A 27,467-nucleotide genomic window follows, 5' to 3' on the forward strand; every position below is an offset into this window, starting at 1 on the left:
TGAGCTGGCGGGGACTTGGGGGCAGCTCTCGGACTGGGAAGGAAAATAGGTTCCTGTGTTCTCCCCGGGGAAGGTGTGGGAGGAAAGACAGCGGGATAGTTGGAGCGGGACAGAGGCACAGCCTGGGAAAGACACCCGAATGGAGGGGCCAGAGGCAGAAAGAAAGGGGCCGAGCGGGTTCCAGGACTCCCCTGGGAGAAAAGGGAAAGGCAGGGAGATCCGAGACAGAAAGACCGGAACCGAGGAGGGGGAAGAGGGCAAGAACGCGATCTAAAAGAGACCCTCAGAGGAGACAGAGCCCACAAACTTGGGAGAGGTTTTCGGGGCCTAGGAGAACGGTAACCTACGTCAGCCAGGGTAGCCGGGAAGAAGGCAAAGGAGTCTGTGGGCTGGGCCTGCCCTCTCCTCAGTCCCTTCACCAGGCCTGAGCTATCGGTTCGCGCTTCCAGAGTCCCTTCCCAGGGTCTCTGCGAGCCAGGAGGGAAAGGAAGAGAGGGGAGAAGTGGAGGAAAAGGGGAGACACGCCCCAGAGGAGTTGGAACGCAGGAGGGAAAGGGGACCATACCCGGTAGCCCGAGGGAAAAACGAGGCGAGAGGGGAGAAGGCGACCCCGCGCTGCTACCCGCGGAAGATTTATGGCGCCTCCCGGGTTCCAAGGACAGGCTGCGTTCGTCGCTGCTGCCACCGCCGGTAGTCGCCGTGGCCGCTGCGCCCCCTGCCCAGGCGGCCCGTCGCGCCCCAGGCCATCCCTGCCATTATTAACTTCTGTTTGATTAGGGTAATTGTTCAAACTTGGGCCGGACAGTATGATTAATTACAGTTTAATTAACGTGTCCATTAAGGACACTTAATGCCAGGGGGGCAGGGAGGGAGGTGGTGGAAGCGGCCAACGGGGCGCCTGGGTGCGGGCTAAGAGGGGCGGGGTGCGACTAGTAACTCAAACGAAGAAGTAGAGACAGATTGAGAGAGGAAGAGAAGGGGACCCAGTGGGGCGTTAGGGGAAAGAATGGTGAAGACGGAGAGACCGACTGAGACAGGAAAGGGATGGAGAGAAACGGAGCTTTGAGGAGAGAGAGGAGGTACCCAGGGGCGTCTGTAGCATCAGAGGACTGGACCTCCCCCTTGGGGAAACTGGCTTAGCAGCGTTGAGAGCGTAGTTAACCTCAGATCACTCCCAACGATGACTTGGCTCCTGCCCTGGGCCTGTTGGTGATGGCGAAGGGAGGCATTCAAGGCCGAGGGCTCCCCAAACCTAGTTCCCAAGTCCCCTGCCCAGGGACGGAAACAGGAGAACGCCCCTCCTCAGGTTAGAGCTCTCTCTTGATACCTCCCACCGAAGTCAGGAGCATGGGAGAGGCAGATCTGCTCCTTCCCGGGTGCCATCCTCGCTGCCCTGCACCCAGGTCCCTGTCCCGGTCTCTGGTGACCCTACTGGTTCCCGAGGGCCACTCTAGGCTCCACCACCCTGGCCCTCGCCTGCGGCCGGAAAGTGAAGTACTCCTCCCTGCGCCCGTTCCTCTTGAGTCCCCCTTAGCCCCATCACCCGGTTTTGGCCCAGACCAAAACTGGCTCCTTGGCCGGGAGCACTGGGCCCTCCCCACTTCGTTCTTGGGGACAAACTTTATGGCCCCAGGGCCTTTCCTCCCTCCTGGCCTCTCCAGCTAGAGCGGGACGCAGGTGCAGGGTGCTGGACGCAGGTGTGCGGCCGCTTACCTGGGGCGTGCAGGCCTTGGGCTGCGGGGAGGCGGCGGGCGCCGCGCGTGGCCCGCGGGCGGGCGGACCCGGGGAGGGCGCTAGCGACTGCGCGGGCGGTGGGTGTGGCGCCCCGGCTCTCAGCTGTCAGGCGCGCCTGCCCCGCCACTCGGGCTGTGACCGCGCCGTCCCCGCCGCCGCGCCATGCGCTCCAGGCTTCGGCCTCTTCTTCCGGCCAGTCCCCGGCCTCGGGGTCAACGGCTCAGGGTTCGCATCTCCGCGCCCGGGGTCCCGGCGCCCCGTGCCCGCTGAGAGCGGGAGGGGCCGCGGGTGGGAGCGCGGAGAACCAGGGAGCACGGCTGTGCGCGCGCGCGGGGAGGGGCCGCGCCGTCACCCGGAGAGCCCGGCGGATCCCGGACTCCCGCCCGCCGCTCCTCCCGCCGCGCACCTCCGCTCACCGCTCGCCCGGCTCCAGCCGCCGCCGCACTGTGAGTACCCACGTCCGGTAGCCCGCCGCCCCCGCGCTCTGCTCCTGCAGCTTTTTTTTCGTTTAGTTCTGATTTGGGCTCCTGTGGCTGTTGTTTTTATGATTATACCTAAAGACACCACCGCCTCGCTCCCACCACTGCCAGTCTCCCGCTTCGCTGCCCTCCCCAAGCTCGTCCATCTAGCTCCGGGAGCCGACGGGGGTTCCTCAAGCTGCTCTGGCTGCTGCTCCTTGTCGCTGCATATGGCTCTTCGCCTGTGCTTTCCGCTTTGGCCCCCGAAATTCCGTTCCTTTCCTAGGGACCCCCTTCTTCTGACTCCGGGCCCGGACCCCCCTCCTCTCACTCAGGGAAAACCGCGCAGGGACCCAGGACCCTCAACTGGGGTACGCTCTCGGCTCGGGCGCTGTCTTCACTGTATGCGGGCCAGGCATAGTTGCCGATTTCGAGAAACCGAGAAGCTGTCATTTCCCAGCGCTGCGCGCCCTCCAGCCACCTCCAGGAGGGCGCGAGGCTTGTCAGCCGGGGAGTTAGGACAGTGTTTTTGCCTCCTACAATGATATAAAGGACTTCAACGCGAAATAAGGGTCAACTTATTTTAGTTCGATCCTCGGAGATAAAGATGAAACAGACAGATAATACATAAATAGCTTGATACTTGAAGAAGGTACAAAACAGATGAGAGAAAGAGGAACGAGCCGGCAGAGACAGCTCAGGGACAGATAAGATCGACAAATGAGGGTCTCCTAGACAAATAGAGAAGAAGGGAGAGAGACAGATAAACAGAAGATTCCAGTCTCCTTGCTGAAGGCTTTTGAACTGGGATCCCCTGTCTGGAGCTGCCCCTCTGAAAACGGAGTTACATTCAGGGCCGACTGCAGGGGAGGAGCCCTCAGGGTTGGGCTGCCCTGGCCGCAGGAGCGCCTGCAGCCTTGGGCCGGATGGGAGCCTGGCTTGTCTGAGGACATGTGGCTGGGTCAGGCGACCTAGAGGGCCCCAAACATCAGTCCCCAAGTACCCCCGCTGCTGAGGTCTGCCTGCACAGCTCCCTCCCTGCCTCAGCCAGAAAGCAAAGTGCAAGGACCAGCAGCAACTTGTGTGCCTGGAGCCTTGCAATGGCTACGAAGATGGCTGAGATTCCTTCTAGCCCATATGAGCCGGGACAGCGAGGCATGAAGGATACTCAGAGAGGTGATGCCCCTCAAAGAGGAAGCCCAGAGCCCCGAATCCTGCAGTTGGCCCGAGTGGGAAACGTATATCTGAAGGAGGAAAGCTCAAGGAGTGGGCGACTGGAAGCTAAGAAGTGGATCCCAACAAAGTTCCTTGAGAACCTCTCTGTCCCACACGTTGACCTCGGTGGAAACCAGCTTTGGTCTGGAATACAGCTAAAAATGCAGAAAATGTGGTTAGAACTGCAGGATCCTGGTCTCACTAATAGCTGGAAAGAAAACGGTTTATATATCCAGCCGAAATCTTTCTGCTCAACGAACGCGGGCGCCAGCCGTGAGAGGAGAAGCTCGGGTTTGTGGAAACTGGCAATGTTGTCCCCTGAAGCCGGCTCGGGCACCAAGCTGGGTGCGGTGGGGGCCGCGCTAGGTCCGGGTGCGCACCGAGCGCTTTGGAGAGGGTCAGGTTCAGCACCGCGAACAGCGGTAGCCTCCGCCTCTCTCCTTCCCTGGCAGACACGGTTCCCTCCTCCTTCTCCTCACCCCCCTCCTTCTCTTCACCCCCCTCTACCCCCTGCTGTCTGGAGATGGGCAGTGACCGCCCCTCCCCCCTCCCCACCCCTCCTTGCACTGCCCCCGCCCGCCCGCGTGCATGCGCGACTGAGCAGAGGGGCGGCCGATCCCCGAAGTCCGGGCTTCAGGACCCGGGCCGGCAGCACCGGCTGCGAGGGTTGCCGAAGGCGCACGGATCTGGGCGCTGAAAAAGCCAGGATTTGGCAATGGCTTTGCTGTGTGGCCTTGGGCAAGTCACTCTGCGTATCTGGGTTTCACTTCCTTCCCAATCCGAAAACGGGATTGGGTTCCTTGCAGCCCGGGCATTCCTGAGGTCTCCTTTACCCCTTCTCCTCCCCCAAGCCCCGGGGGCTGTTGTTAACGGCGCCAACATGGGTCTGAGTAACAAAAGACGCCTGTCCAGGGGGTGAATGAGTTTGGACTCCCCACTGCCAAGTATCCCCCGCGCGCCCAACTCGGAGCGCCCTGCTGGGCGGGCCCGAGCCTCGGCGGCGGCGCTGAAAATGGCTCATCTGCTCTCTGCTTTCTCTATTTCGCAGGAGCGGCGGCATGGAGGCTCTCACCACTCAGCTGGGGCCGGGGCGCGAGGGCAGTTCCTCGCCCAACTCCAAGCAGGAGCTGCAGCCGTACTCGGGCTCCAGCGCTCTCAAACCCAACCAGGTGGGCGAGACGTCGCTGTACGGGGTGCCCATTGTGTCGCTGGTCATCGACGGCCAGGAGCGCCTATGCCTGGCGCAGATCTCCAACACCCTCCTCAAGAACTACAGCTATAATGAGATCCACAACCGCCGCGTGGCCCTGGGCATCACGTGCGTGCAGTGCACGCCGGTACAGCTGGAGATTCTGCGTCGGGCCGGGGCCATGCCCATCTCGTCGCGCCGCTGCGGCATGATCACTAAGCGAGAGGCCGAACGCCTGTGCAAGTCGTTCCTGGGCGAGCACAAACCACCCAAGCTGCCCGAGAACTTCGCCTTCGATGTGGTGCACGAGTGCGCGTGGGGCTCGCGTGGTAGCTTCATCCCTGCGCGTTACAACAGCTCTCGTGCCAAGTGCATCAAGTGCGGCTACTGCAGCATGTACTTCTCGCCCAACAAGTTCATCTTCCACTCGCACCGAACACCCGACGCCAAGTACACGCAGCCCGATGCCGCCAACTTCAACTCCTGGCGTCGTCACCTCAAACTCAGTGACAAGTCGGCCACAGACGAACTGAGCCATGCTTGGGAGGACGTCAAGGCCATGTTTAATGGCGGCACGCGCAAGCGGACCTTCTCCCTACAAGGAGGCGGCGGAGGCGGTGCCAATGGCGGGTCGGGTGGGCAGGGGAAGGGTGGTGCTGGCGGCGGTGGCGGCGGTGGCCCAGGGTGCGGTGCAGAGATGGCCCCAGGCCCGCCGCCCCACAAAAGCCTGCGCTGTGGCGAAGATGAGGCTGCCGGGCCTCCGGGGCCACCTCCACCCCACCCGCAGCGCGGACTTGGCCTGGCGACTGGAGCTAGTGGCCCGGCGGGCCCAGGAGGGCCCGGTGGCGGCGCCGGCGTACGAAGCTACCCGGTGATCCCGGTGCCCAGCAAAGGCTTTGGGCTCCTGCAAAAGCTGCCCCCACCACTTTTCCCCCATCCTTACGGCTTCCCTACGGCCTTCGGCCTATGCCCCAAAAAGGACGACCCGGTTTTAGGCGCGGGCGAGCCAAAGGGCGGTCCTGGCACTGGGAGCGGCGGCGGCGGCGCGGGGACAGGCGGGGGTGCGGGGGGCCCGGGAGCCAGCCACTTGCCCCCGGGGGCAGGGGCGGGCCCGGGCGGCGGCGCCATGTTCTGGGGGCATCAACCCTCCGGGGCAGCCAAGGACGCAGCGGCAGTGGCTGCAGCGGCCGCCGCCGCCACTGTGTACCCGACGTTTCCCATGTTCTGGCCAGCAGCAGGCAGCCTCCCGGTACCGTCCTACCCCGCTGCTCAGAGCCAAGCCAAGGCCGTGGCGGCAGCCGTGGCGGCGGCAGCGGCGGCGGCAGCGGCAGCTGCTGGCAGCGGTGCCCCAGAGCCCCTGGACGGTGCCGAGCCAGCCAAAGAGAGTGGCCTCGGCGCGGAGGAGCGCTGCCCGAGCGCTCTGTCCCGCGGGCCCCTGGACGAAGACGGCACGGACGAGGCGCTGCCACCGCCCCTGGCCCCGTTGCCCCCGCCGCCCCCGCCGCCCGCACGCAAAGGCTCCTACGTGTCGGCCTTCCGGCCGGTGGTCAAGGACACCGAGAGCATCGCTAAGCTCTACGGGAGCGCCCGGGAGGCGTACGGCGCGGGGCCTGCTCGGGGGCCGGGACCCGGCGCTGGGAGCGGCGGCTACGTGAGCCCGGACTTTCTGAGCGAGGGCAGCTCCAGCTACAATTCCGCCTCGCCCGACGTGGACACCGCGGACGAGCCCGAGGTGGACGTGGAATCCAACCGCTTCCCCGACGACGAGGACGCCCAAGAGGAGACCGAGCCCAGCGCACCCAGCGCAGGGGGCGGCCCAGACGGTGAACAGCCCACTGGACCCCCTTCCGCCACCTCCTCTGGCGCGGACGGTCCCGCAAACTCTCCCGACGGCGGCAGCCCCCGCCCCCGGCGCCGCCTCGGGCCACCCCCAGCTGGCCGGCCCGCATTTGGGGACTTGGCAGCCGAAGACTTGGTGCGGAGACCTGAGAGGAGCCCGCCAAGCGGCGGCGGCGGCTACGAGCTGCGAGAGCCTTGCGGGCCCCTAGGAGGCCCCGCGCCGGCCAAGGTGAGCCCCGCGCCCGCCCCGCCAGTGGCGCCTTCCCACCTACCCTGTGCGCGGCAGGGCTGCGGGGCCGGGCGGAGAACGGGAATTTTGTTCCGCGCAGGCGTGGGAGCAGCAGGCCTCGGCCACTCTCCGCAGGCCCAGCCTTGGGCGCGCTGCGAAACTGGGCCCACCCGCACCCTCCAGTGAGGGTTTCGAAGGGAAGGGAAGCTGGGGGCGGCGGGAGGACTGGGGAACTTGTGTGCTTTGTTTTTGTTGATGGGAATGGGGAGGAGACCGGCTGAGACTGCCAGACACAGAGACAGAAAAGGGGTGTGGAGAAAGAAAGAGGAGGTAAGAAAGGAACCCAGAGCCAGAGAAAAGCGCTCGCCCGGGTGGGCATCAGAGCCCCAAGGAAGAGGAGAAGAGAGGACAGTGTGGCCTCTCCCTGAGTCGGGCCCCAGCAGTACCGGGTCCCCGGAATCTCCCACCACCCCAACTCGCAGTTTTCCGAGTCTCTTCGCACTCCCGCCTTGGGAACCACAGGGTTCGTTGCTGGGAAGCTGTCTCGGGACCGCGTGCGGAGCGGGAGGGGGGCTCTCAAGCTGGCAGGGCCGGGGCTTGAGGGGCAGGATGCAGCCAGGCTGGAGTCGTTGGCCATTTTGAAAGTGAGTGCGCATACCTGTACATTCGGTTCATTAAAACACGAATCATTAACCGGATGCGAAAGGCGTCATTTATGCCGCGGACGGGGCACTGGCGGGAGGGAAAATGCCTAAAAGGAGGCGGGTGCAGAGGGTGGAGGACACTTTGAACGCCCCTCGGCTTGGGAGCCGCTTTGTGTTTAGAGTAATTTTCCCGAGGGCGCTAACAATTACCCTGAATCTACAAGGGGGCAAGGGTGCGCCGCGTGCGTCACTGTGCCCGCTCAAGTCCAGCGGGCGCACCAACCTTTGCCACTCCGTCGGCTTTCCCTCTTGGCCGCGGGGTAGGGCTGGGCGTCTTTGGGCCGCCGCAGGGCGCCACCCTAATCGCCTGTCATTTCTCGGCCGTCGCAGGTGTTCGCGCCCGAGAGGGATGAGCACGTGAAGAGCGCGGCGGTGGCGCTGGGGCCCGCGGCCTCCTACGTCTGCACCCCCGAGGCCCACGGTAACGCCTGTCGCGGCCGCTGGCCACTGTAATGGGGGAACCGCAGACAGAGGGCCGGGGTCAAGGAAGGCCTGCGAAGGAAGACAAGGAGAGAGACGCAGAGAAAGAGGGAGAGGGAAAGAAAAATAATGAAAACAAGGAAGCTAAGCTAGTACTCCCAACAACTTCCAATCTTTAGTTACTTAAAAACAACAGTGACAACGCCCTCTCCACCACACGCACACACATGCTGCAGTACACCCAGACACGGCGTTAAACCCTTAACAAAATCACGCCCGACACGGCCTTCAAATCCTCTCATTTATTCAGCAAGTGTGTTTGGCCGCGGGGTCCCCTTTGGCTAGGCCGGATCGGGGCGGAGGATGGGGGCACATGGCCGCGCGCTTGGGTACCCCAGAAGCGCCAGGGTAGCTGAGGCCCATCGCGGGGTGGTGGGGGCCGCCCTGCACTTGCGCGCCTTACCAGGTTCCTCACAGAGGAGGGGTTGGGGGCAGCGGAAAATCGGGCAGGTCGAGGCAGCCGAACCCCGGACGATGTCCCCCCACCCACCCCGAAGGTCGCAGCCTGGGCCGCGTTCTCAGCAGGAGTCGGGCGGACAGACCCGGCGGCCACGCGCGCTCGCGGTGCCCCAGTATCTGCGCGCGATGTAGGTCGCTCGTCCCTGGTGGGCTCGGCTGCTCGCCTAGCTCTTTTCCAAGGGGCTGGGGCGGGGGCCTGAAGCCCGGAGATGAGCAGACCAGGCGCGGGGGTGGGGGGTGCCCGGCCCAAAGCCTCAGGGCGCGCTCCTGGGCGCACAGCCGGGAACCAGAGGCGGCCACGACGCTTTTAATTAGGGCTGGGGCGCCCCGACCGCGGCAGCTCCGGCAGTATCCGGGTCACGGTTTCTTTGCCTCTCTTGAAATTCGGTTTGTTGCCTTCAAGAGCCAGATAAGGAAGACAATCACTCGCCCGCCGATGATTTGGAAACGAGGAAATCCTATCCAGACCAAAGGAGTATCTCCCAGCCAAGTCCTGCAAATACAGACAGAGGTGAGCCAGCCCTTGAACCCATCGCTCTCCACCGCACCCAGGAGCTGGGACCCAGGTCGCCCAGGTTCCCAGAGGCTTGCGAGAAAGGCTTTTAATCAAGTGTAAGCGGCTGCCAGTCTTCTTCCTCGGCGAGCAGATAAATATTTAACGCGAGCAGGGTGCAGGCCAGGTTTTCTGAATTGCTGCCTCCTTGGTGGGTTTGAGGTTCTTTCAGGTAAGGGCAGAGGATGTACTAAAAGGAAATGGAGGGACGTCCTCACCCACATAAAATAGGTCAAAGGGCATTTCCTGCCCTTAGATGGCCCATCTTCCCTGGGCCGTCTCCTCCAGGGGTCACTCTCCTACTCTCTACTGTAATGTCCTAGAAGGTGGATAGTACTGGATTCCTGTAACTGTCTCCTCTAAAGGCAGAAGGTCTAGGGTAGGTCCCTGATTCGATGTGGTTCCTGGGAAGCTCACCCCTCCCCTCTCAAGGGCTTTCCTAGGACAGAACCCCTCTTACCTGCCCCTGTATCCCAGGCGAAGATGGGCTTACCTTGGATGTCACAGGAACTCATTTGGTGGAGAAAGATATCGAGAACCTGGCCAGAGGTGAGGATAAATTTGTGAAAAAGGTGTACGCTGTGCTTGAGAGTGATGGGTCATTCCTGTAGAGGGGTGTTATCCCTGTAGGGGGTGAGTGTGGAAAAGACACTCACCAAGGCCTTGGGGGCATGAGTTTTCCTTTCTTTGGGTGGAAAGTAAGATCCTCTGGACACATTACCCTGGCACAGAGGTATGTATGTGTGGGTAGAGCATGGGAGTAAAACAAACCCCCAGAAGTTTATTGGAAGTTTGGGTTCCCAAGGCCCGGGTCTGTCTGAATAGCCTTGCCAGAAAGAGAAATGAGTAACAATGATCAGAATTTTTGATGCCTGTGGACAATCAGACAGGACAGTCTGGGTCCGCTGAATTCAATGGAAAACAGGATTTCAATGCAGGATTGCAGGAAAGCATTTATTTTAGGAATGTGAGAGGTGTTTTCCTTTCTCCTGGCATTGAGGTATAACCACCTCCACCTTACCCTAAATGGAGTGTGGATGGAGCTTGTTTGCAGAATGGGGATCCCTGTGTTACTGCTCAGCCTGTAAGGAGGAGACTATGGCTTGGGGTGCAGAGTAGGGGAGTCCCTAGCCCCACTTTGCCCTTCTACCTTCCATTCTTGCATTTCAGAGGAGCCTCTCCTGGAGGAGGGCCCAGATACCAATGACCTCATGGTCAGGGCAGTTGCCACATCTATCCCTCTGGAGTTGGTTCTGAGGGCACTAACAGAGGCCTCTACACCTAGCTCCCTGCCCCTCAACTAGCCCATAGATGGTCTTGGGAATTTGTGGCAGGAGGAAGACAAGCATTGGTGGTCTTCCATTCTTCCTAGTTACAGATTTACAGAAAATGCCATTACCTTCAAAATCACTGGTGCTTTATAGTGAGGGTTCTTAGCATGGATTTGGCAGTCTTCAGACCTCCTGAAATTGCAGGCAAACTGTTGTATGTGTATTTTTCTGGGAAAGGTGTCCAAGGCTCTGACCAAAGCCTCCCTGATTTATATTGAAAGGGCGGCGGTGCGGGGGGGGGAGGTCGGGGCCGGGGCGGGGGCGGGGTCTGTCACTTGAAGTGGGAAATCAAGTTTCCGTGGGCCAGCCTCTTAGGTTAGGGAGTGAGGAACAACTTAAAGCAGTTGCCCAGCTGCATAGTTCCTGGAGCCAGGGCCTAGATTCCACCGTCCTGAATTTATTCTCCTGGGCATCCTACCCACAGCCCAGTTTCTTCACCCAAATCCTTTGAATGCAGTTGGTAAAGCCAGAGAGCGGAGGGCCTCCACCTACTGGTCATCCTTCTCAACTCTCCTTTCAGGGTTGTTGGCCAAGGCAGAACCTGAGCTCCAAATAACCCTGCTTTACCTCCCACTTTACCTCCCACTTTTCCCCTTTCACAGAGGAATTGCAAAAACTGCTCCTGGAACAAATGGAGCTCCGCAAGAAGCTGGAACGGGAATTTCAGAGTCTCAAAGGTACCCACTGCCATCCTGCCTCACCCCACCTCATCACCGAGCCTTCCACCAGGGTGCCCCGACCTACTCCGAAAGCCGGGTGCCAGGCAACTGGTACTAGGTGCCCTGCAGGAGACAAGAAACTGTCCTTTTCCAGGGCTGCAGGCGAATGGCTGGGTGGGAGTTGGGGGTAGGGGTGAAAGGGGGGGCCAGGAGTGAGAAAGTGGAGCCGGGAGAGGGGGCTGTGCGTAACAGCTCTCACTTAATCAATTTGCACAGATAATTTTCAGGATCAAATGAAGAGGGAATTGGCTTATCGAGAAGAAATGGTGCAACAGCTGCAAATTGTCAGAGGTAAGACGGGAGTCAGGTGAGCTCGTGCACGGGCCGTAACTGCCTCTCGTCTGGCAGGAGCCGCAATGTTGGCTCAGTCATTTGGATTTAAATTGAAGGTAATTTAACAATTATTTTTTTATTTAATATGCTTTGTATACTCTGATTAGCCTCAGAATGGCAAGCGAGCCCAGCAAACGGCTTGCAGGCATCATTACATGGAGTGATTGAACTTCTTATCGCGGCAATTTCCATGGTTTCTAAATTAAAAATCGAGGCGTAAAATTACCTGGGAAGTAATGCCTAAGTTTGCTTTAATTTTGGTTAGATCCATCTGCCTTTAAGCGCCATCCCAGGCCATTTCCTTCCTCCGCCAGTCTGCAGTTAGGAGCTCCGGTACCCCCTCCCCCATCCCTGGAGTTGTTTCTGCGCGGAGCTTAGCCCTGGGGAGAGGAGGAAGCCCGGGCTGTGACCCCGGCCTTTCGGAGGGTGGTCTGCGTTTCCTCACTGGCCCCTCCCCTTGTCTTCCAGATACCCTGTGTAACGAACTCGACCAGGAGCGGAAGGCGCGCTATGCCATCCAGCAGAAATTGAAAGGTGCGGAAGCCGGGAAACAAAGATAGGAGGGGTGCTGGGTGCCGGCCGTGCTGTCGACTGAATGAATGAATAGTGGGACTAGTGAGGAAGGCCACGATCCACGTGGATCAGGATCTGTGAGGGAGAAAAGTGGGAACTGATTTTAACGGGAAGATTATTCTAGGATGGTGGGGGTAAAAAGAAAGAGCCCCTTGGGCTTTGGACGTCAGAAAAATCTGCCTTCTATTACCAATTCTGGCTTTGAGCAGGTTGACTCCTCTCTTACTGTGCCTCAGTTTCCTTTTCTGTAAAATGGGGCTACTGAACCAGAGCAGTGGTTCTGAATCACCAGCTTTTGTCCTACCCTCCTGCCTCCTCCTGATCCGCTCGGTTGAGATTCCCTGACCCCAAAGGGTTGGTAAGGCCGGGGAGGGGAAAGGGTGGACTGCGCGGTGAGGTGAGCCTGGAGAGGCGCCCAGAGTGACCCTCGCGACTGTCTCCCCAGAAGCCCACGACGCCCTGCACCATTTCTCCTGCAAGATGCTGACGCCCCGCCACTGCACTGGCAACTGCTCCTTCAAGCCACCGCTGTTGCCCTAGGGCCGGCCTGGCCGCACCCCTGCGCCCTCAAGCCATGCTGCTCCTTGTAAATACCCGCTGCTGCGGTGGCCCTGAGCGAGGAACAAGCCATTCGGACCCGACCGATGTAAATACAGCCGCCCGTCCGCCCGCCTTCCTCCCGGGCTCCCCGGCCTTGCCCGCCCCCTCCCGGGCGTCCCTGTCCAGGGCCCCGGCTTGGTTTCCAAGTGTAAATACCGCCTCGCGCCTCAAATCCCCCTACCCCGTGTGAACTCTAGGGCATCGGACCTCAAGGGGTTAACTGGACAGACGGGGGGCGGGAGGGGAGAGCGCCCCCTCCCATTGTATAGCCTTGAACCCGATTGTGAATACAATGTAGCAACTTCGCTGGCGCCTGCCCCGCACTCCCCGTCCCGTCCACTTCTGAAACTCCTGTTCCTAATGACAAAGTGGCTATGTGCAATGGATATAAATGTACTGTGAGTCTCTCGGTTCAGTATTAGGTTCACTTTAATTTATTTATGCTGTAAGTTATTTTTGCTTCCTTCTCCTGGACCCACTTCCAGTCCCGTTTTGCATTCCCCTTTGGATTTTGCTTTGGCTATTTTTTGTTGTAACCTCTTGATGTAACAGCACTTTAAAAGGGCGACAACTGACTCACGAGATGGCAACCACCTGGAGCCTGTTTGGGGAGACCACCCTGTACCCGTGACTTTCGTTTTTAATAATAATAATAATAATAATAAAAGATGTCACTTCTGGGGCTACGGAGGTGGGAGTGCACCGGCGGAGCGGGGCGGCGGAACACCGTGCAACAGGTGGGGGTGGGAGCCGCCCCGCGGGTTCTGGGGCTCCCAGGGTCAGAATCGGGCCTGCTCAAGTGGGCAGCAGCGAGCACTCAACCTCTCCACTGTGCCCTCCAGACACACTCAGTTTTCCCCCACAGGGCACTCCCTCTCCGCGTTTAGGACCCTCCCTTGGGCCCGGAATGGAGGAGGGGCATTACGTCACGGTCCTTAGCGCAGCGGTCCCGGGCTCTTTCCTCAAGAGCTCGAAGGCGCCGAGGGTTCATCCATGCCCATTTCCACGCCTGCCACACCGGGGAAGTTACCTCCGGGGCGCTCACAGACAGGGCGCCCTGCCGGGAATCCCAGGTTCAACCAGAATTGTCCCTTTAGATGGCGCGGGCACCGCCGGCCTGGCCTGGCCTGGGAGCGCTGCGGCAGGGCGGAGGTCTCAGGGAGTAAGGTGGTCTCCGCCGGGCAGGCTTGGAAAGGAAGGCGGGACTTGGAGAGCTCGGTCACAGACGGCCTCCCGTCTGCCCCGCCGCTACCCGAAAGGAGGGAGCCCCGTCCGCATTTTCTGTTCGGTCCATTTTAGTTCGAGAGGGGCTAAGGACTCGCCGGGCCTCGGCTGGGGCGTCCGACGTCCGGGTCACGGTTGGCAAGGCCTCCCAGCGGCCTCAGTTTCCACAGCGCACCTCCTGCTTGGGCTACAGACGACGCTGCAAATTGCAGAACACTCTTTGCAGGGAGGAGAGTGTGGATGGAGTGGGAGAGAGCTCACGGCACAGGGAATCATTCAGCCTTGGCTTTCATTTCTCGCCCTCGGCTGGCTAGTGGGGGTCCCGGGTTGAGCCCTTCTTTTATCTTTCCTGGGTCTCCGTTTCGGCCTCTATGAAATAACACGCAGGCCTCCGTCCATGCGGCTCGTAGAAGGCGGGCGGCAGGCCCCGCGCCACCGGCCAGCAGCTCGGGACCGGGAGCCCTGGGCTGAGGGGGCCGGGAAGTTTCGTGGCGGGTTGTCTTGGTGGGCCTTGGACGGAGCCGGCTAGTAGGGGCGTGCTCTGGGCCTCCCCGAAGCTGTGCAGACGAGGAGTCCCGCTGCGCGGTACAGCCAGGAAGCCAGTCCCTAGAGTCCTTTGCGCTGGGGGTCGGAGCCTTGGAGTCCCAGGATGTTCCGACGGCTAAGACCAGAGCGGACACAAAGGAGATAACAATGAAGAGGGCGCCGGCAAATGGCGAAGCATCGCCTCCGGACAGGCCATCTCCGGGCAGGGCCCCTCTAGGGAGCGGGAACGTTTCATATGCATGGGACCCACCAGATCCGCTTTCCGCTGGACCGGTGGCGAAACTGAGGTCCAGAGAGGAAGAGACTGGAGTCTCCAGGCCGCGCCAGGGCCCGCGGAACTGCGACGGGGCGGGACAGCGCGGGTGTGGGAGTTTGCCGGCCCCTTTCCCCACCGCGGATTGCACCTTTGGAAGCTGCACTTTTCTTCTCTGTAAAATGGGCATCACCATTACCACCCAGGCAGGAAGTTCCGTGGCTGCGGCTCGACAGAGGAGCCAGGCAAATGCTCCTTCCCACCCTTCCTTCCCAACTCCCCCCAAAGTGGAAAAGCTCCTAGGCAGCTGGGGCCCTCCGGAAGGGACGCCCCATCTGGGCAGGAATCTCTGCGGACTGGAGTCGTAGGCGGATCCGACCCAGAAAGCTCAGTCGCAAAAACCCTCCCGGGCTTCGCGTCCCTTCAGAAGTGGTTTGTTCCCCCCAAAAATGTTAATAACCAAACGATTGGTATGGATGTAATTATCAATAATTATACTAATTATTGCTGATTGCGGGGCTCGTAGCTACTTTAATTAGTTTACCAGATTCTAATTAAGTTAAATGAAACATTAATAGGGAAAATATGCTTTGAAAAAAAAAACCCAGGATTTAAAAAAAGTCTATTTCTCGCCACAATGTTGCCACCTTGCGACAGATTTTAAGCATTACAGCCAACGCCCGAAGGCCCAGACCAGGGTGCCTGGGGTCCCAGGGAGAAAAAGTGGGGCCTGGAAGTTGGAGGAGGCAGTTGAACACAGAATATCCTGTGGGCTGTTCTCCTGGAGTGTTTGGTTTGGCCTGGTCCCCAGCGGTGCCTACAGGAGGTCTGGCTCTGGAGTCCCAGGTCTGGGGTAAGGGACAAGAGTGAACGGAAGCCGGGGCCCCTCTTGGGATCCGCAGTGGGAAGATGATCTCTATCCCCACCTGTTCTGGCAAATCCAGAGTGAGAGACTGAGCAAAGTTGGAGCCGCCGTTGGAGACAGCATCAAGTGGGTTTATTTTTCACCCCCACGGGAGAAAGCAGTAAGTCCCTTCCCATCTCCATTTCCTCTGCAAATCAGGGTAACCTGTGTGCAAAAGCACCACTTAGAAGACCCCTTAACTCCTGGAGCACAGGTGACTCTGTGTTCTAGTGGCACTCGGTTCATGAGGCTAGCAGGGCACTCACCTCCCTTTGTTATTCTTGGTTGTAAGTGTCTGTTGCCCTAAGACTGAAAGTAAGTCCACAGCAGGGGTCACACCTTGCTTTTCCTTGCAATCTTCAACACAGGGCCCAGGGCTCCACAGGCACACAACACATGTGTAGATGAAAGGCTTCCAACTTTGCGGTTCATCTAGGTGCTGAAAATGTCTGAGGGAAGGAATCCCTAGGTGCTTCTGGACAACAGCCACTGATAAGCAATTAAGCTCATTTGCATAAGGTTAATTAAACACAGGTTTACTGCTCAGAAAGAAGATCCTTCATCAATAGGATTCGTTTTGGGAGCAGGTATCAGGTAAGTGATTGTTAACCTAGAAAAGGAAAACTTTGTTCCTGTTCCAACTGTGTCCTAAAGGGGGTATTCCTTCACTCCGTCATACTTTTCCAGGTCACTGGCACACAGGTCCACCCATTCGTAGCTACCCTGCTCTAAAGCCTTGATCCGTTGCAAACATGTGACTCCTGCCTTGAATTCAGAACACCAACAAAAGCAGAACTGGATCTGCATGCTCTTCCCATGAATTCTAAACAGCCTCATCTCCTCTCTCCATCCTCAGATGCTTGGCTAAGAGCACAAACTCTGGAGCCAGATTTACTGAGGTCTCAATGCTGCCCTGTCATTGATGAGTGACATTGGGCAAGTTGTTGAATCTCTCTGTGCCTTAGCTTCCTCATCTATAACATAGGGAGATTAACAGTACCTACTTCATAGAACTGTTTTCTGTTAATATATGTAAAGCACTGAGAACAGCTCCTGGCATACAAGAAGTGCTATTGTATTGGTGTTTGCAAAGATTACAACTCCCTCTGAATTCACTTTCCTGAGACTCAAGCCAGGAATGCTTTTAGAGTCCCAAAATGTACCCCAGTCCATCACCCTCCTCTCCTCCAGGGGCCCAGAAAGGGGGCCCAGAAAGGAGGACAAACCGGTGCTTTTTCAAGCCTGGACTATTGAGCTTTCTGAAGACACATTCATAAGAATCTACAAGCACAGAGGTTGGAAGGGCATCCTGCAACGCCAATGCATGGACTATTGAGTTTCTGGAGACACATTCATAAGAATCTAGAAGCACAGAGGTTGGAAGGGCATCCTGCAACGCCAATGCATTGACTCTATGTGTCCAAAGAGGCGAAGACTTGCCCAAGTTCCCTCAGCAGGTTAGTGCAGAGGAAAGGAAGTCAGCCAGGTCTCTGGATTTTCTGGGGCTAGGAACTGCCTGTCTTTTTCCTAATTTCTGTTCTAATCTTTTCTTTTCTTTTAAGTAGCGACAGGGCTTCACCTTGTTGGCCAGACTGGTCTCGAACCCCTGACCTCGGTATCCTCCCAGCTCAGCCTCCCAAAGTACTAGGATTACAGGCGTGAGCCACTGCGCCCGACCAGTTTCTTTAGAACAATCTCAACAGTCCTTTTTGGGCCAAGTCCTTCACTCTTGGATTCTATTTTACTCCCCATAACACCCCCTTCCACATACGTAGACTAATAATATTCCAGTCTGATGGGTTGTCTGTGCTGAAAGAGAGGGAGCCACATCGACATTGGTCGTTTTCTTATTTGGCATCCCAAGGGAGACATTTAAAACTACTCACCCAATTGCCCAAGTGGCCTCCAAAGAACCAGATATCTCTAGGGGAAGAACAGAAATCCAGCCAACAAAGATTGTCCTCTAACGCCTTACATCGAAGGCCCAGAGCCAAGGAAGAGGCGGAGATGTCCCGCAGTCCCCTATGCTCGGCTGTTACCTGGAAAGGATCATTTCACTTCCACTGAAGAGAAAAGGAATGAGTCCTGAATGGAATGCTGCCCGGCAGCTCCCAGCGCCCGCTGGTAGAGTACCCGCCGCTGTCCCTGGGTGGCTCCGGGGCTTCGAGCCTAACAGTCCTCCTGCGGCGCGCCTGGAGGCTGGGAGCTGTGCGGCCGCTCCCGGCAGATCGACTGAGGTCCCAGTGGCCGCAGGGCCCACGTGCATGCTGAAGCACTAGCAAAGCAGTTGCACCATTTTTCTGTTGGAAAGATATTTCAGAAAACATTGCCTAAGTCATCGCAGGAAATCTGAACGTGGTTGGACTTTGTTTCCTCTTTGTCTTACCACTCGGGACTGTGTTTTTGTAACTCAATTACCTGAGACCTGGGTCCCGATCTTTTCAGGGTCTGTGCCTCTGTAAGTCTTATCAGGCTTTACCTCTCAGTGATTGGTGTAAAATGATGACAGTAAAACAGTAAAACCCACAGGGTGGGGCTGTCAGGAATTTTTTAAACATTATTTTATTTTTCTGCCCCCTCCCCCTTTTCTTTTTTTCTTTTATTATTTATTTATTTGGTCTGGAATATTTCAATGAAATATTGGTGAAGCCCTTGACATATGGTAGATACTCATTAAGTGGTGGCTTTTTTTTTTTTTTTGATTCAAAGGATTCTGTCACTCTTATTGCAAGTTCCTCATACGTTTATCGTTGCACTAGTTCCTGTTATGTTTCGGAGCTGAAATGGATCAACTTTGGCAAGACGAAATTTCCTTAAGTGTAAGGTACTGCAATACTCAGGATTGTGCAGAGGGAAGCAGAGGCAAGATGGGAAAGATCGCAAACTAGGGCCCGAGGGCCAGAGGCAAAATGCACCGCAGAGATGAATCTGCCTAGGCCCCACCTCCTTCTATTCCGTCTCCTAGGACTACTACATTTTATTTGTGTTAAAAGATATCACCTGTAGATGAAAGGTGTTTTCAGTGGTAAACCGTGCACCGGCGTATAAACGTGGTGTAAAAAAAAAACCAAACAGAAAAACAACCTGATGTAAAAACAGAAAAACAACCTGATGTAAAAATATGGAACGCTTCACGAATTTGCGTGTCATCCTTGCGCAGGGGCCATGCTAATCTTCTCTGTATCGTTCCAATTTTAGTATATGTGCTGCCGAAGCGAGCACGGTGTTTCGTCCTTTCCACAAGATATATAAAGCCAAGAAATCGAAATACTTTCAAGTTACGGTAAGCATATGATAGTCCATTTTAAAACATAATTTTAAAACTGCAAACTACCCAAGAAATTATTACTTTCTACGTCACGTATTTTGTACTAATATCTTTGTGTTTACAGTCAAATTAATTCTAATTATCTCTCTAACAGCCTTGTATCGTATATGCAAATATGAAGGAATCATGGGAAATAGGCCCTCTTCCTGCCCGACCTTGGCGCGCGCTCGGCGCGCGGTCACGCTCCGTCACGTGGTGCGTTTTGCCTGCGCGTCTTTCCACTGGGGCCGGGGCGGCGCGGAGGGTTCAGACGCGGGCTCTTACTCAAACGCTGATCCCCGAAACTACCGAGCAGTGTCTGCGCGACGCGAAAGCATTTTTGGAGCGAGGGGCCATGGTGCCCATGGGATTCCCACGGGTGTTGGACTCGGGACCCCGAAAAGGTTGCGAGTCGCTGGTTGGACCCTTCCCTGCGCGGGGACCCGAGAGACGTGACCCTAGCGAGGCCTGGGGCCACCCACTGTGGGCTGGAAGGGGCCGACAGGGGTTGCGGCGGGGGATCGTGGGGAGGGTTGGCCAGGGCGCGCCTTCAGCTTCCCCTCGGCTTCTCGGAACTAGCTCTCTGCATTCGGAGCCAAGGCGATGAGGGTGTCTGCTTTGGGACGCAAACTTCCAGTAGTGGTGGAAGTCTGGGAAGGGTCACCACCGTTTGAGCCAACATTTAGAAAGAGCCAGGCGCTTAACCTAAATGGTATCATTTCCCCCATTTTGCAGTTTAGCAAACAGGCTCTGGGAGGTTAAACCATCTGCTCCAGTGATCCTGCCACTGGTTAAAGTAGTTGGGATTTGGATGCGAGTCTGGTTTCAAAGACTTTTTTTTTTTTTTTTTTTTTTTTTTTTTACGCAGTGGAGTTTGGAAAAGATTTGAGACCACAAGTGCAGCCTCCGCTTTCCTTGTTAGAGTTACTCCAGAAGCCCTGACCAGCTCAGACTTTCCTTCCTACTTCCATTCCTTCAACAAATATTGAACATCTGTGGTGTCAGCACCCGGGCTTCAGGGATGCGTGAGTGGGCAGGGTTGCTATGGTCATGGAGCTCGGTTCCAGCAGGGGAGCCAGGCAGACATGAAAGAGCCCTCTGGATGCCGAGACGTGTGCTGTGAAAGTGTGGCATAGAAAGTGCCTGGGGGATGATGGCCACTTCAGTGGGGCAAGAGAGAAGGTGACATTGGAGCTGTCATTGATGATAACGGCGGCAGCGCTGAGGGGACGGGGACCGAGATCCAGGCAGAGGACCTTGCAACCACCTGACTCAGTGTCACCCATCTGGGCCAGCCCTTCCCGGGAGACCACTGTGGTGGTAGTTGCTGCTCCCAGCAGTGCTGTGGCTCAGTACTGAGAGAGGGGAGGGACCTGGGGAGCCACTGCCAGGGAGTTCGGGCTTTGGAGGCTTGAGTTCTCCCCACTCGGTACGCCTCTTAAGTGAAATGGAAGTCATTTGACTAGCTTCTCATCTGACCTTACTAAATAAGCAGTAGGCAAACGCAAACCTCAGAATGCTAATATGGCCTTTACTGAGTGAAAAGAGCTAATTTGGACAATGATGTTTACCTCAGATTTACAAAAGAGAATTGCAAATAACCAAAAAGCACATTAACATGGATGGGAGATGATGCTAATCTTCAATTAGCATCCACATTTTTATTCATTTATTTAGAACAGGTAGGGCTGGTGGTTTCATAAATGCCTTATTGTGGAAACTAGCATGAGATACACCTAGTTATTGGTTCAACATTTCTGGCTACATGAGCATGTGTTACTTTGAGCCAGAGGTAGATTTTTTGTTGTTGTTTGTTTTTTTGAGATGGAGTCTCGATCTGTCACCCAGGCTGGAGTGCAGTGGTGCAATCTCAGCTCACTGCAACCTCTGCCTCCTGGGTTCAAGCAATTCTCCTGCCTCAGCCACCATGCCAGGCTAATTTTTGTATTTTCAGTAGAGACGGGGTTTCACCATGTTAGCCAGGCTGGTCTGGAACTCCTGACCTCAGGTGATCCACCCACCTTGGCTTCCCAAAGTGCTGGGATTACAGGCGTGAGCCACCATGTCTGGACTCTTTTTTTTTGAGATGGAGTCTCACTTTGTCACCCAGGCTGGAGTGCGGTGGTGTGATCTTGGCTCACTGCAATCTCTGCTTCCTGGGTTCAAGAGATTCTCCTGCCTCCACCTCCCAAGTAGCTGGGACTACAGGCTCACTATCATGCTGGGCTAATTTTTTTTTTTTTTTTTTTTTTTGAGTCAGAGTCTCGCTCTCTTCAGCAGGCTGGAGTGCAGTGGCATCATCTTGGCTCACTGCAACCCCTCCTCCCAGGTTCAAGCGATTCCCCTGCCTCAGACTCCTGAGTAGCTGGAACTACAGGTGTGTGCCATCACCCCCGGCTAATATCTGTGTTTTCAGTAGAGACAGGGTTTCGCCATGTTGGCTAGGCTGGTCTCAAACTCCTGACCTCAAGTGATCTGCCTGCCTCAGCCTTCCAAAGTGCTGGGATTAAAGGCGTGAGCCACCGCGCCCCGCCAATTTTTTGTCTGTTTTTTCTTGTCGAGCAATTTTGCAGAGGAGAAAGATCTGAGTTCTAGTTCTCATTCCACCTGGAACTGTTTGTGACCTTGGCCTGCTCCCTGTACCTCTCTGTCTCTGGTTCTGTTTTAGCTTCTGCAAAGTGAGGAAACTACCCTAGAGATGATCCTTGACATTTTTCAGCATTGAAATGCTGGCATTCTTGCAGCTGGATAACTGAAGGACGTTTTTGGATAATTGTAATTTTCTGATATTCTGCATTCTCCCAGTACCATGAAAAAAAATAATAATTAGCAAGATGTAAAAATTCAAGAGGGTTTTTGTTTTCTCTTTGAGAAGGGCGAAGCAAACTGGTCATCCTGGAGCCATGGAGGGCCCCAGGATCAGCCCCCAGGGGCGGCTGTGGATCTAGGGCCTGGGACCTGCTGAACCGTATCACAACATGCCTCTGAGCTCCAAAGGCCAGTACAGACGAAGCGGGAGGCTGGTGAAGGGGAGGGGATACATTGAATGTAGCATGGAGGTGGAGGAGAGGAGGAAGCATGGAGGGGCTCAGGGAGGGGAGAGCCGAGTGGACCATGACTTCATGGGAAGTCCCAAGCCCCCACAGGCCTTGAGGGAATAGGCATTGCAGGCGAGGAGAGTGTGGGTGCCAGAGAGGACTGGACTGGTGGGCAGGCTTGGAGTTGCAGTGGGAGCCGGCTCCTGCCGCCTTCAGAGTTGTTGGCTTCTCTTCACTCTGCAGTCCTGAAAAGAACTGAGTCCTGGCAGTCTTCCCTGAATGTTCTGGACTACAGAACCCCAAGAGATGAGGAGTGGTCCCCCTATCCTGTTTGAGGTGGTACTTCCCACTACCTGAGTAGGAGAGAGCAGAGCCAACTTTATTTCGAACAATTAAGAAATGGGCTGTTTCATATGGAAAAAATGTCAGTGAAGACATGAACTCTTAGCATTCTCTAAAATTATGTAGTGTTTCTCTTACAGCCAGAGAGCATTGCATGTTTTCGTGTATCATTTTATTTGAAGCAGGAAGGGCTGGGGACTCCCAGCAGCCCCACCGGAGGGAAGGAGGGAGGAAGGAGCGGGGATGTGGAGAGAGGCCCCTGTGACCTTGTTTATGTGCAGGCCTGGGAGGAATGGCATTAGTGGTTTCAGGAGGTGTTGCCCTGGGACTGTAGCACAGGGACAATGCGCTGAGTTCACATGCCTGACCCTGAAGCTCCAAAGGCCTCAGACACAGAGCATGGCCAGAGCAGGGTTGGAGGAGGCCTGAGTGTGGGGGAGGACCCACTCCCCCAGGCTGCCAGAAATTCCTGTGAGCTGCTTATGCTCTGAGTTAAGCCTTGTTCTTATAACATCTCTTTTGAAGTGCACTCTGTCACCTAATTCACCTCAATGTGAATGAGTTTTTCCAAAGTTAAGCTGAAGGGGGGTGGAGTAGGCAAATCGGTCTGTGTGCCCACAGCTCAGAGGGTGGCCTGGGGGAAGAGACAGGGTCAGCTGTGGCCAGCTGACCTCTCAGAGGGAGTTTCTTTCAAGACTTGTAAGCCTGGTGTGCCCAGAGCCCTTGCTCTGCTGGGGTGGCCCCTGGTGTGTTGAGATCAGTTCTAATCCATCCCAGATGCCGGGCCTCAGTGGAGCCCTCTGGTCCCGCCCCTCCCCCTGCATAGCCCAGGCTGCCCCTTTTACTCTCCCCCAGATCTCATATTTGTGCCCAGAATGTCTTAAAAGATCTGTTTCCTCACCTGTGGGATGGTGATTGTGCTGCCTGCTTTGCAGGGTCATTTGAAGGTTAAATGCAGGATTGGGTGTGAAAGGCCCTAGCACATTGGATGAGCTGATTGATGCCAAGTGTTTACAATAGTCCTGGGCTATTCTAATGCTCAATACATAACCACTTACTTATTCTTCTTTTCCTTCGTCTTGCAACTATCTGCATGAAATAAACTTTCTTTAAGGTAAAAATAGCAGGGTAGGGAGGAGTCCCTAAGTTTTGCTCCTTTTAGCCACGACGGGGAGTATTTTTGCCCAGATGTCTTTAATCCTTTGGATTTGAGTTTCCAAAGGCCCTGGTTAAGATGCAGTTATGTTTTGAGACGGGACACTACATAGACTCAGTAATACCTGTTTACGTAGCTTAGTACGATTCCTTGCCCTTTAAGACCAACACAGGGTCTTCTGGCATCCTATTTCATGTGAGTATCTCTGAGACATAAGCATGGGGGTGCAGGGGTAGTGCTGGTTATTATTCCTCTTTTACTGATAGGGAAAGGCGAGGCCTACAGAGGTTAGGTGACCTATCTAAGGACACAGCTAGTTAGTGACGGTCCTGGAATTTGCTCTCGGATCTCTCTGACTCCGAGGGCTCACTTTACACCTACATGTAATATGGGAGTACAGTTTGAGGGGTTCTGGAGTGCTTTCTCCAAATAATCTCTTACTGCTCTTACTCTTGCCTTAAATCCTGCCACTGATGCGTCATTATTTTGAGCTGTTGCTGTATCGAGGGTTCACTGTAATTTATTTCATCAAGACCTTTTTTTCTGGCAGTCCCAGGATGGCCTAAGGGCATAAGGCGCTTAGGTTTAGGGTGTGGAGGACTTGCTCAGAAAGAAGGTGCAAAAAGAGGAATTGCCAAGTCTGAGCATGGGGTCTGCCAGCTTCTCTCTAGCTCTCAGTTTCCCTGTATGGGATTGCAAGGATGGGAGGAAAAGTGTCACACCTCCTCCAAATCCTGGCTGCCCTGGAGTCCAGACATCGCTCCCTGCCAAGGCTACAGTGACTGCAGCAGTGGTACAGGGGAAGACTGCAATGGCTTTCAGCCAAGAAGGTCCATATTTATGTCTCATCAACTGTGACTAGGTGGGTCACCAGTCTCTTCCAGTTGCTGACCCTGTTTTCTCGTCTCTAAAATGGAAGTGATGATTTTTCTACTTACCACACAGGGTTGTGAGGCTCCATTGAAATGCCACTGTAAATTGCTATACAACAAAAGACAGGAATATCAGTATTGTCAGACACCCATTGGAGCCTCAGGCAGCTCAGCATTCCCCTTACCTGGTGAGTGAGGCATTTGTGCATTAGGAACAGACCTACAAAATCAGAGCACCAAAATGAAACATCACACTGTATTAATATTTTCACACCACTTAGCTCTCATTAAAATGTACTTTGCTGAATTTAATATGTGATTTCAAATGACACAACATATTAAGTGCTTAATATACTAGAAATTATGAAACTATTATAGTTGATGCCATATGAAATAATTACACTGAATTAAACTTTAGCAGCCAAGTGAAGGAAAGACTTCAACTTAAAACGTCTTAAAGAAGCTTAAGCCACCACTGTAATCCCCAAAATAAATGTCCAGAAATTAGGATCTTTAAATAAAAACTGGAACTTAATCTGTACTTACACCGGGAAGCTCTTCTGGGCTTTGGTGATGTGCAGCATTGTTCCCTTGGGGAGGTGAGGGGCCCTGGGACCCACTGCAGGCCAGGGTGTTGGGATCAGGGCTTCAGTGGGCTCGCTCCATGGGCCTGGCTGGGGGTTGGCTCAAATGGCCTGGAGTAAAGCCTTCTACCGAAGTGACAGATTAGTCTTTGCTCGAGATTAGCCTATTGACAAGTTAAAAATAAAAACAAACCCACCTTATGGAACATCTATTCAGTGCTTCCTTTGTGCCAGCCATTTTATATGCATTTCCTCATTTAATCCTCACAATACATCTGTTTTAAGAGCCACTGTTTTTCAGATGAGGAAACAGGCTCAGAAAGATTAAATGAATAATCCAGGGCCTTAAATCAGAATCCATAGTGTTCACCCCTGCATCAGATTGCCTTTCTCTAAACTCTTCAACCTCCTCATTAGTGTATGTGTATGCATGCATGTATGTACTACCTCCTATTTTAATAATGATTCAGTGACTGATATGGTTTGGCTGTGTCTCCACCCAAAATCTCATCTTGAATTGTAGTCCCCATAATCCTCACGTGTCAAGAGAGAGACCAGGTGGAGGTAATTGAATCATGGGGGCAGTTTTCTCCATGCTGTTCTTGTGATAGTGAGTGAGTTCTCACGGGATCTGATGGCTTTATAAGTGTTTGGTAGTTTCTCCTGCATTCATTCTCCTTACTGCCGCCTTGTGAAGAAGGCGCTTGCTTCCCCTTTGCCTTCCACCATGATTGTAAGTTTCCTGAGGCCTCCCCAGCCATGCAGAACTGTGAGTCAATTAAACCTCTTTATAAATTACCTAATCTCGGGCAGTTCTTTATAGCAATGTGAAAATGGACTAACACAGTGACCAAACACATTAGCCTGCTATATGACAGTGACATTACCTATATCTTTATCTCATTCCAGTCATGGAGACTAGGGACCATGGCTTGAGAGTTTCACCTTAAACTGTCTCGATACACTCAGTCTGGCTAACTTAGACAGGAAGAGCTCTGTGGATACTTGCTGTTAATTCAATTAAAGAAAAATGAATTCATTACCTCCTCAGTATCCTGACATATTACCTTTGTGTGCTTGCTTAAATAAGATATCCTCTTATAAAGAGCAAGGATACTTTCTATCATAGGGAATACCAGTGTCTTAGCTACTTAAGGCCCTATGTCTCAATTACTTATATCACATGAAAATACCCAATGGGCTGTTTGAAAAATATAAATTTTAGTGTGGACATTTAAATGTATTATCATTTACTGACCAGCAAAAATGATTTTCATAGAGACAGGAAAATTTGGCTCAACCAAACACATGTTTGTAATGAACTGAAAACATGTATTTCTCGTTAAGAGTCAAGATTAGGCTCTGTTTTGTATCATAGAAAAGCAAATAACAGTGGCTTTAAGATGATAGAGGTTTATTTCTCTTTCACATGAAACAAGTTGTCTTTTAAGGACTTGTCTGGTAGCTCCATTGTGGCAGACAGCCAGGCTCGTTTATCCTTTAGGGCCACAATTCATGGTCCAAGATGCTTGCTAGAGCTCCAAGTTCCAAGCAGGAAAGGCAAGGGGGAGGCCATTACTGCCCCGAGTAAAATCCATAACTCAGCATACCACCTAACACTCAGGAGCACTCAGTACATGGTACTCTTGGCTGTTGCTCATCTTCCGTTCTGCACAACAACAAGAAGGAGGAAGGGAAGTCGTATTTACTAATACCATACAGGGTTCTCAGGACCATGCTGGACATTTACACATGATTGCATTCAACTTTCATAATCCAGTGAGGGTGGTGTAGCAGCAGGTTAAGTAGGAAGTGAGGCTGTATCCACATGTGGAGGTAGGAAATTGGAGGGGAAGGGTGGAATGTTTCCATAAGAAGCCGAAGGGCTTTCAAGAAGGAAGGGATGAAGCCTCCAACACTTGCTCTCTGAGATTCAAGTTAATACACATTTTCAGTGTGGATCAAATGGTCCTGACGAAGGTGCAGTGGCAGGAAAGTGTTAATTATGCTCTTAGAATAAAATTGCCATGAGCATAGAAAGTGAAGAGATTAACAAATTTTAAAAAGACATTAGAAAAGCTAGCAAAAGACTTGAACAGGTGCATCGCAAATTAGGAGCTCCAAATGGTGAATGTGAAAATGTCCTCAACATCTTTAATCATCAGGGGAATACAAAACCACCTCACAATTAACACTGAGAAGTCTGATAATGCTGTTAACTAAAAACTCAATCAATATATAAATTTGGAAAGGAGAGCTTTGTTTCTTATAAAGGGTTATAGCCAGCAAGGTGGCCATTCTGACAGGCTGGGAAGTGTTAGCCTTGGTCGAAGCCCAGAAACACACTTCAAGGGAGAGAGGGAAGGGTAAGACAGGAATTTAAGCTGAATGGTTGGCCAAGTATAGGTATTCAACAGGATACAGGAGGAGCTATGAATATTCATGGAGGTGGTCCTAATACATGCATACTTGAATAAACATGCATATTACATATGACCCATGTTCTCTTTGCAGTGGAGACTTTTAAATGTAACATTTAAATGTAGTACAGTTAGGTTCTATATGTCAAAAGGTCTTTTCAGGACACAAAGGCACTCAAGTGTGCAGTCTCTGTAAACCAGCCAGACCAGTCCATGGTTGGTGGTCTTCTCATCAGGAGAAAGTTAACTGAAATAACTCTTGTCCAATCAAAGCTGTAGTTATGTCTTGTGGAACAGGGGGTCAGTTAGGTAGCATCTGGCGATGGATTGAGTTGCAGATTATTTAATATGGCTTATTTCAAGGCCAGTGCTTGTTTAGCTGCTGGAGAAAAAGAAAAACATTGT

At 54.2% G+C, this 27,467-nt stretch overlaps 2 protein-coding genes, 2 long non-coding RNA genes and 1 other non-coding gene across 5 annotated transcripts, besides 10 other annotated features; 2 read left to right on the forward strand and 3 right to left on the reverse strand.

Moving 5' to 3' along the window:
- The first annotated feature begins 1,896 nt into the window (after positions 1 to 1,896).
- LOC124903570 (uncharacterized) lies at positions 1,897 to 4,104 on the forward strand. Its single transcript, XM_047433429.1, has 4 exons — positions 1,897 to 1,959; positions 2,479 to 2,563; positions 3,159 to 3,922; positions 4,033 to 4,104. Exons 1-4 carry the CDS (start codon positions 1,897 to 1,899, stop codon positions 4,102 to 4,104), a joined length of 984 nt encoding a protein of 327 aa, XP_047289385.1.
- On the forward strand, positions 4,029 to 13,102 carry SKOR1 (SKI family transcriptional corepressor 1). The gene is made up of 9 exons (NM_001365915.1): positions 4,029 to 4,229; positions 4,456 to 6,664; positions 7,699 to 7,789; positions 8,711 to 8,818; positions 9,338 to 9,409; positions 10,794 to 10,868; positions 11,127 to 11,201; positions 11,712 to 11,777; positions 12,262 to 13,102. The coding sequence occupies exons 1-9, from the start codon at positions 4,123 to 4,125 to the stop codon at positions 12,354 to 12,356; spliced, it is 2,898 nt and encodes a 965-aa protein (NP_001352844.1). The 5' UTR covers positions 4,029 to 4,122; the 3' UTR covers positions 12,357 to 13,102.
- Positions 5,297 to 5,935: an enhancer, noted in NCBI's record as "H3K27ac-H3K4me1 hESC enhancer chr15:68119115-68119753 (GRCh37/hg19 assembly coordinates)". NCBI's record gives its function as "activates a minimal SCP1, AML or CMV promoter by ChIP-STARR-seq in naive H9 embryonic stem cells {active_cell/tissue: H9 hESC(naive)}" and the evidence as "EXISTENCE:reporter gene assay evidence [ECO:0000049][PMID:30033119]".
- Positions 5,936 to 6,573: an enhancer, noted in NCBI's record as "H3K27ac-H3K4me1 hESC enhancer chr15:68119754-68120391 (GRCh37/hg19 assembly coordinates)". NCBI's record gives its function as "activates a minimal SCP1, AML or CMV promoter by ChIP-STARR-seq in naive H9 embryonic stem cells {active_cell/tissue: H9 hESC(naive)}" and the evidence as "EXISTENCE:reporter gene assay evidence [ECO:0000049][PMID:30033119]".
- LOC105370870 (uncharacterized) lies at positions 8,718 to 11,117 on the reverse strand. Its single transcript, XR_932395.3, has 4 exons — positions 10,936 to 11,117; positions 10,260 to 10,323; positions 9,354 to 9,399; positions 8,718 to 8,800 (listed from the first exon to the last, which is right to left on the reverse strand). It is a non-coding gene; the product is annotated as an uncharacterized LOC105370870 (long non-coding RNA).
- Positions 12,015 to 12,851: an enhancer, noted in NCBI's record as "H3K4me1 hESC enhancer chr15:68125833-68126669 (GRCh37/hg19 assembly coordinates)". NCBI's record gives its function as "activates a minimal SCP1, AML or CMV promoter by ChIP-STARR-seq in naive H9 embryonic stem cells {active_cell/tissue: H9 hESC(naive)}" and the evidence as "EXISTENCE:reporter gene assay evidence [ECO:0000049][PMID:30033119]".
- Positions 12,428 to 12,577: a silencer, noted in NCBI's record as "silent region_6582". NCBI's record gives its function as "represses an Ori minimal core promoter by ATAC-STARR-seq in GM12878 lymphoblastoid cells {active_cell/tissue: GM12878}" and the evidence as "EXISTENCE:reporter gene assay evidence [ECO:0000049][PMID:35858748]".
- On the reverse strand, positions 12,828 to 17,399 carry SKOR1-AS1 (SKOR1 antisense RNA 1). The gene is made up of 3 exons (NR_120345.1): positions 17,230 to 17,399; positions 15,610 to 15,953; positions 12,828 to 14,301 (listed from the first exon to the last, which is right to left on the reverse strand). It is a non-coding gene; the product is annotated as an SKOR1 antisense RNA 1 (long non-coding RNA).
- Positions 15,349 to 15,879: an enhancer, noted in NCBI's record as "NANOG hESC enhancer chr15:68129167-68129697 (GRCh37/hg19 assembly coordinates)". NCBI's record gives its function as "activates a minimal SCP1, AML or CMV promoter by ChIP-STARR-seq in naive H9 embryonic stem cells {active_cell/tissue: H9 hESC(naive)}" and the evidence as "EXISTENCE:reporter gene assay evidence [ECO:0000049][PMID:30033119]".
- On the reverse strand, positions 18,459 to 18,565 carry RNU6-1 (RNA, U6 small nuclear 1). The gene has a single exon (NR_004394.2). It is a non-coding gene; the product is annotated as an RNA, U6 small nuclear 1 (small nuclear RNA).
- Positions 18,503 to 19,455: an enhancer, noted in NCBI's record as "H3K27ac-H3K4me1 hESC enhancer chr15:68132321-68133273 (GRCh37/hg19 assembly coordinates)". NCBI's record gives its function as "activates a minimal SCP1, AML or CMV promoter by ChIP-STARR-seq in naive H9 embryonic stem cells {active_cell/tissue: H9 hESC(naive)}" and the evidence as "EXISTENCE:reporter gene assay evidence [ECO:0000049][PMID:30033119]".
- Positions 18,911 to 18,960: an enhancer, noted in NCBI's record as "active region_9635". NCBI's record gives its function as "activates an Ori minimal core promoter by ATAC-STARR-seq in GM12878 lymphoblastoid cells {active_cell/tissue: GM12878}" and the evidence as "EXISTENCE:reporter gene assay evidence [ECO:0000049][PMID:35858748]".
- Positions 19,456 to 20,407: an enhancer, noted in NCBI's record as "H3K27ac-H3K4me1 hESC enhancer chr15:68133274-68134225 (GRCh37/hg19 assembly coordinates)". NCBI's record gives its function as "activates a minimal SCP1, AML or CMV promoter by ChIP-STARR-seq in naive H9 embryonic stem cells {active_cell/tissue: H9 hESC(naive)}" and the evidence as "EXISTENCE:reporter gene assay evidence [ECO:0000049][PMID:30033119]".
- Positions 24,206 to 24,706: an enhancer, noted in NCBI's record as "H3K4me1 hESC enhancer chr15:68138024-68138524 (GRCh37/hg19 assembly coordinates)". NCBI's record gives its function as "activates a minimal SCP1, AML or CMV promoter by ChIP-STARR-seq in primed H9 embryonic stem cells {active_cell/tissue: H9 hESC(primed)}" and the evidence as "EXISTENCE:reporter gene assay evidence [ECO:0000049][PMID:30033119]".
- Positions 24,707 to 25,207: an enhancer, noted in NCBI's record as "H3K4me1 hESC enhancer chr15:68138525-68139025 (GRCh37/hg19 assembly coordinates)". NCBI's record gives its function as "activates a minimal SCP1, AML or CMV promoter by ChIP-STARR-seq in primed H9 embryonic stem cells {active_cell/tissue: H9 hESC(primed)}" and the evidence as "EXISTENCE:reporter gene assay evidence [ECO:0000049][PMID:30033119]".

The sequence above is a fragment of the Homo sapiens genome, chromosome 15 (genome assembly GCF_000001405.40).
Source record: "Homo sapiens chromosome 15, GRCh38.p14 Primary Assembly".
In the NCBI taxonomy this organism is placed as follows: domain Eukaryota; kingdom Metazoa; phylum Chordata; class Mammalia; order Primates; family Hominidae; genus Homo; species Homo sapiens.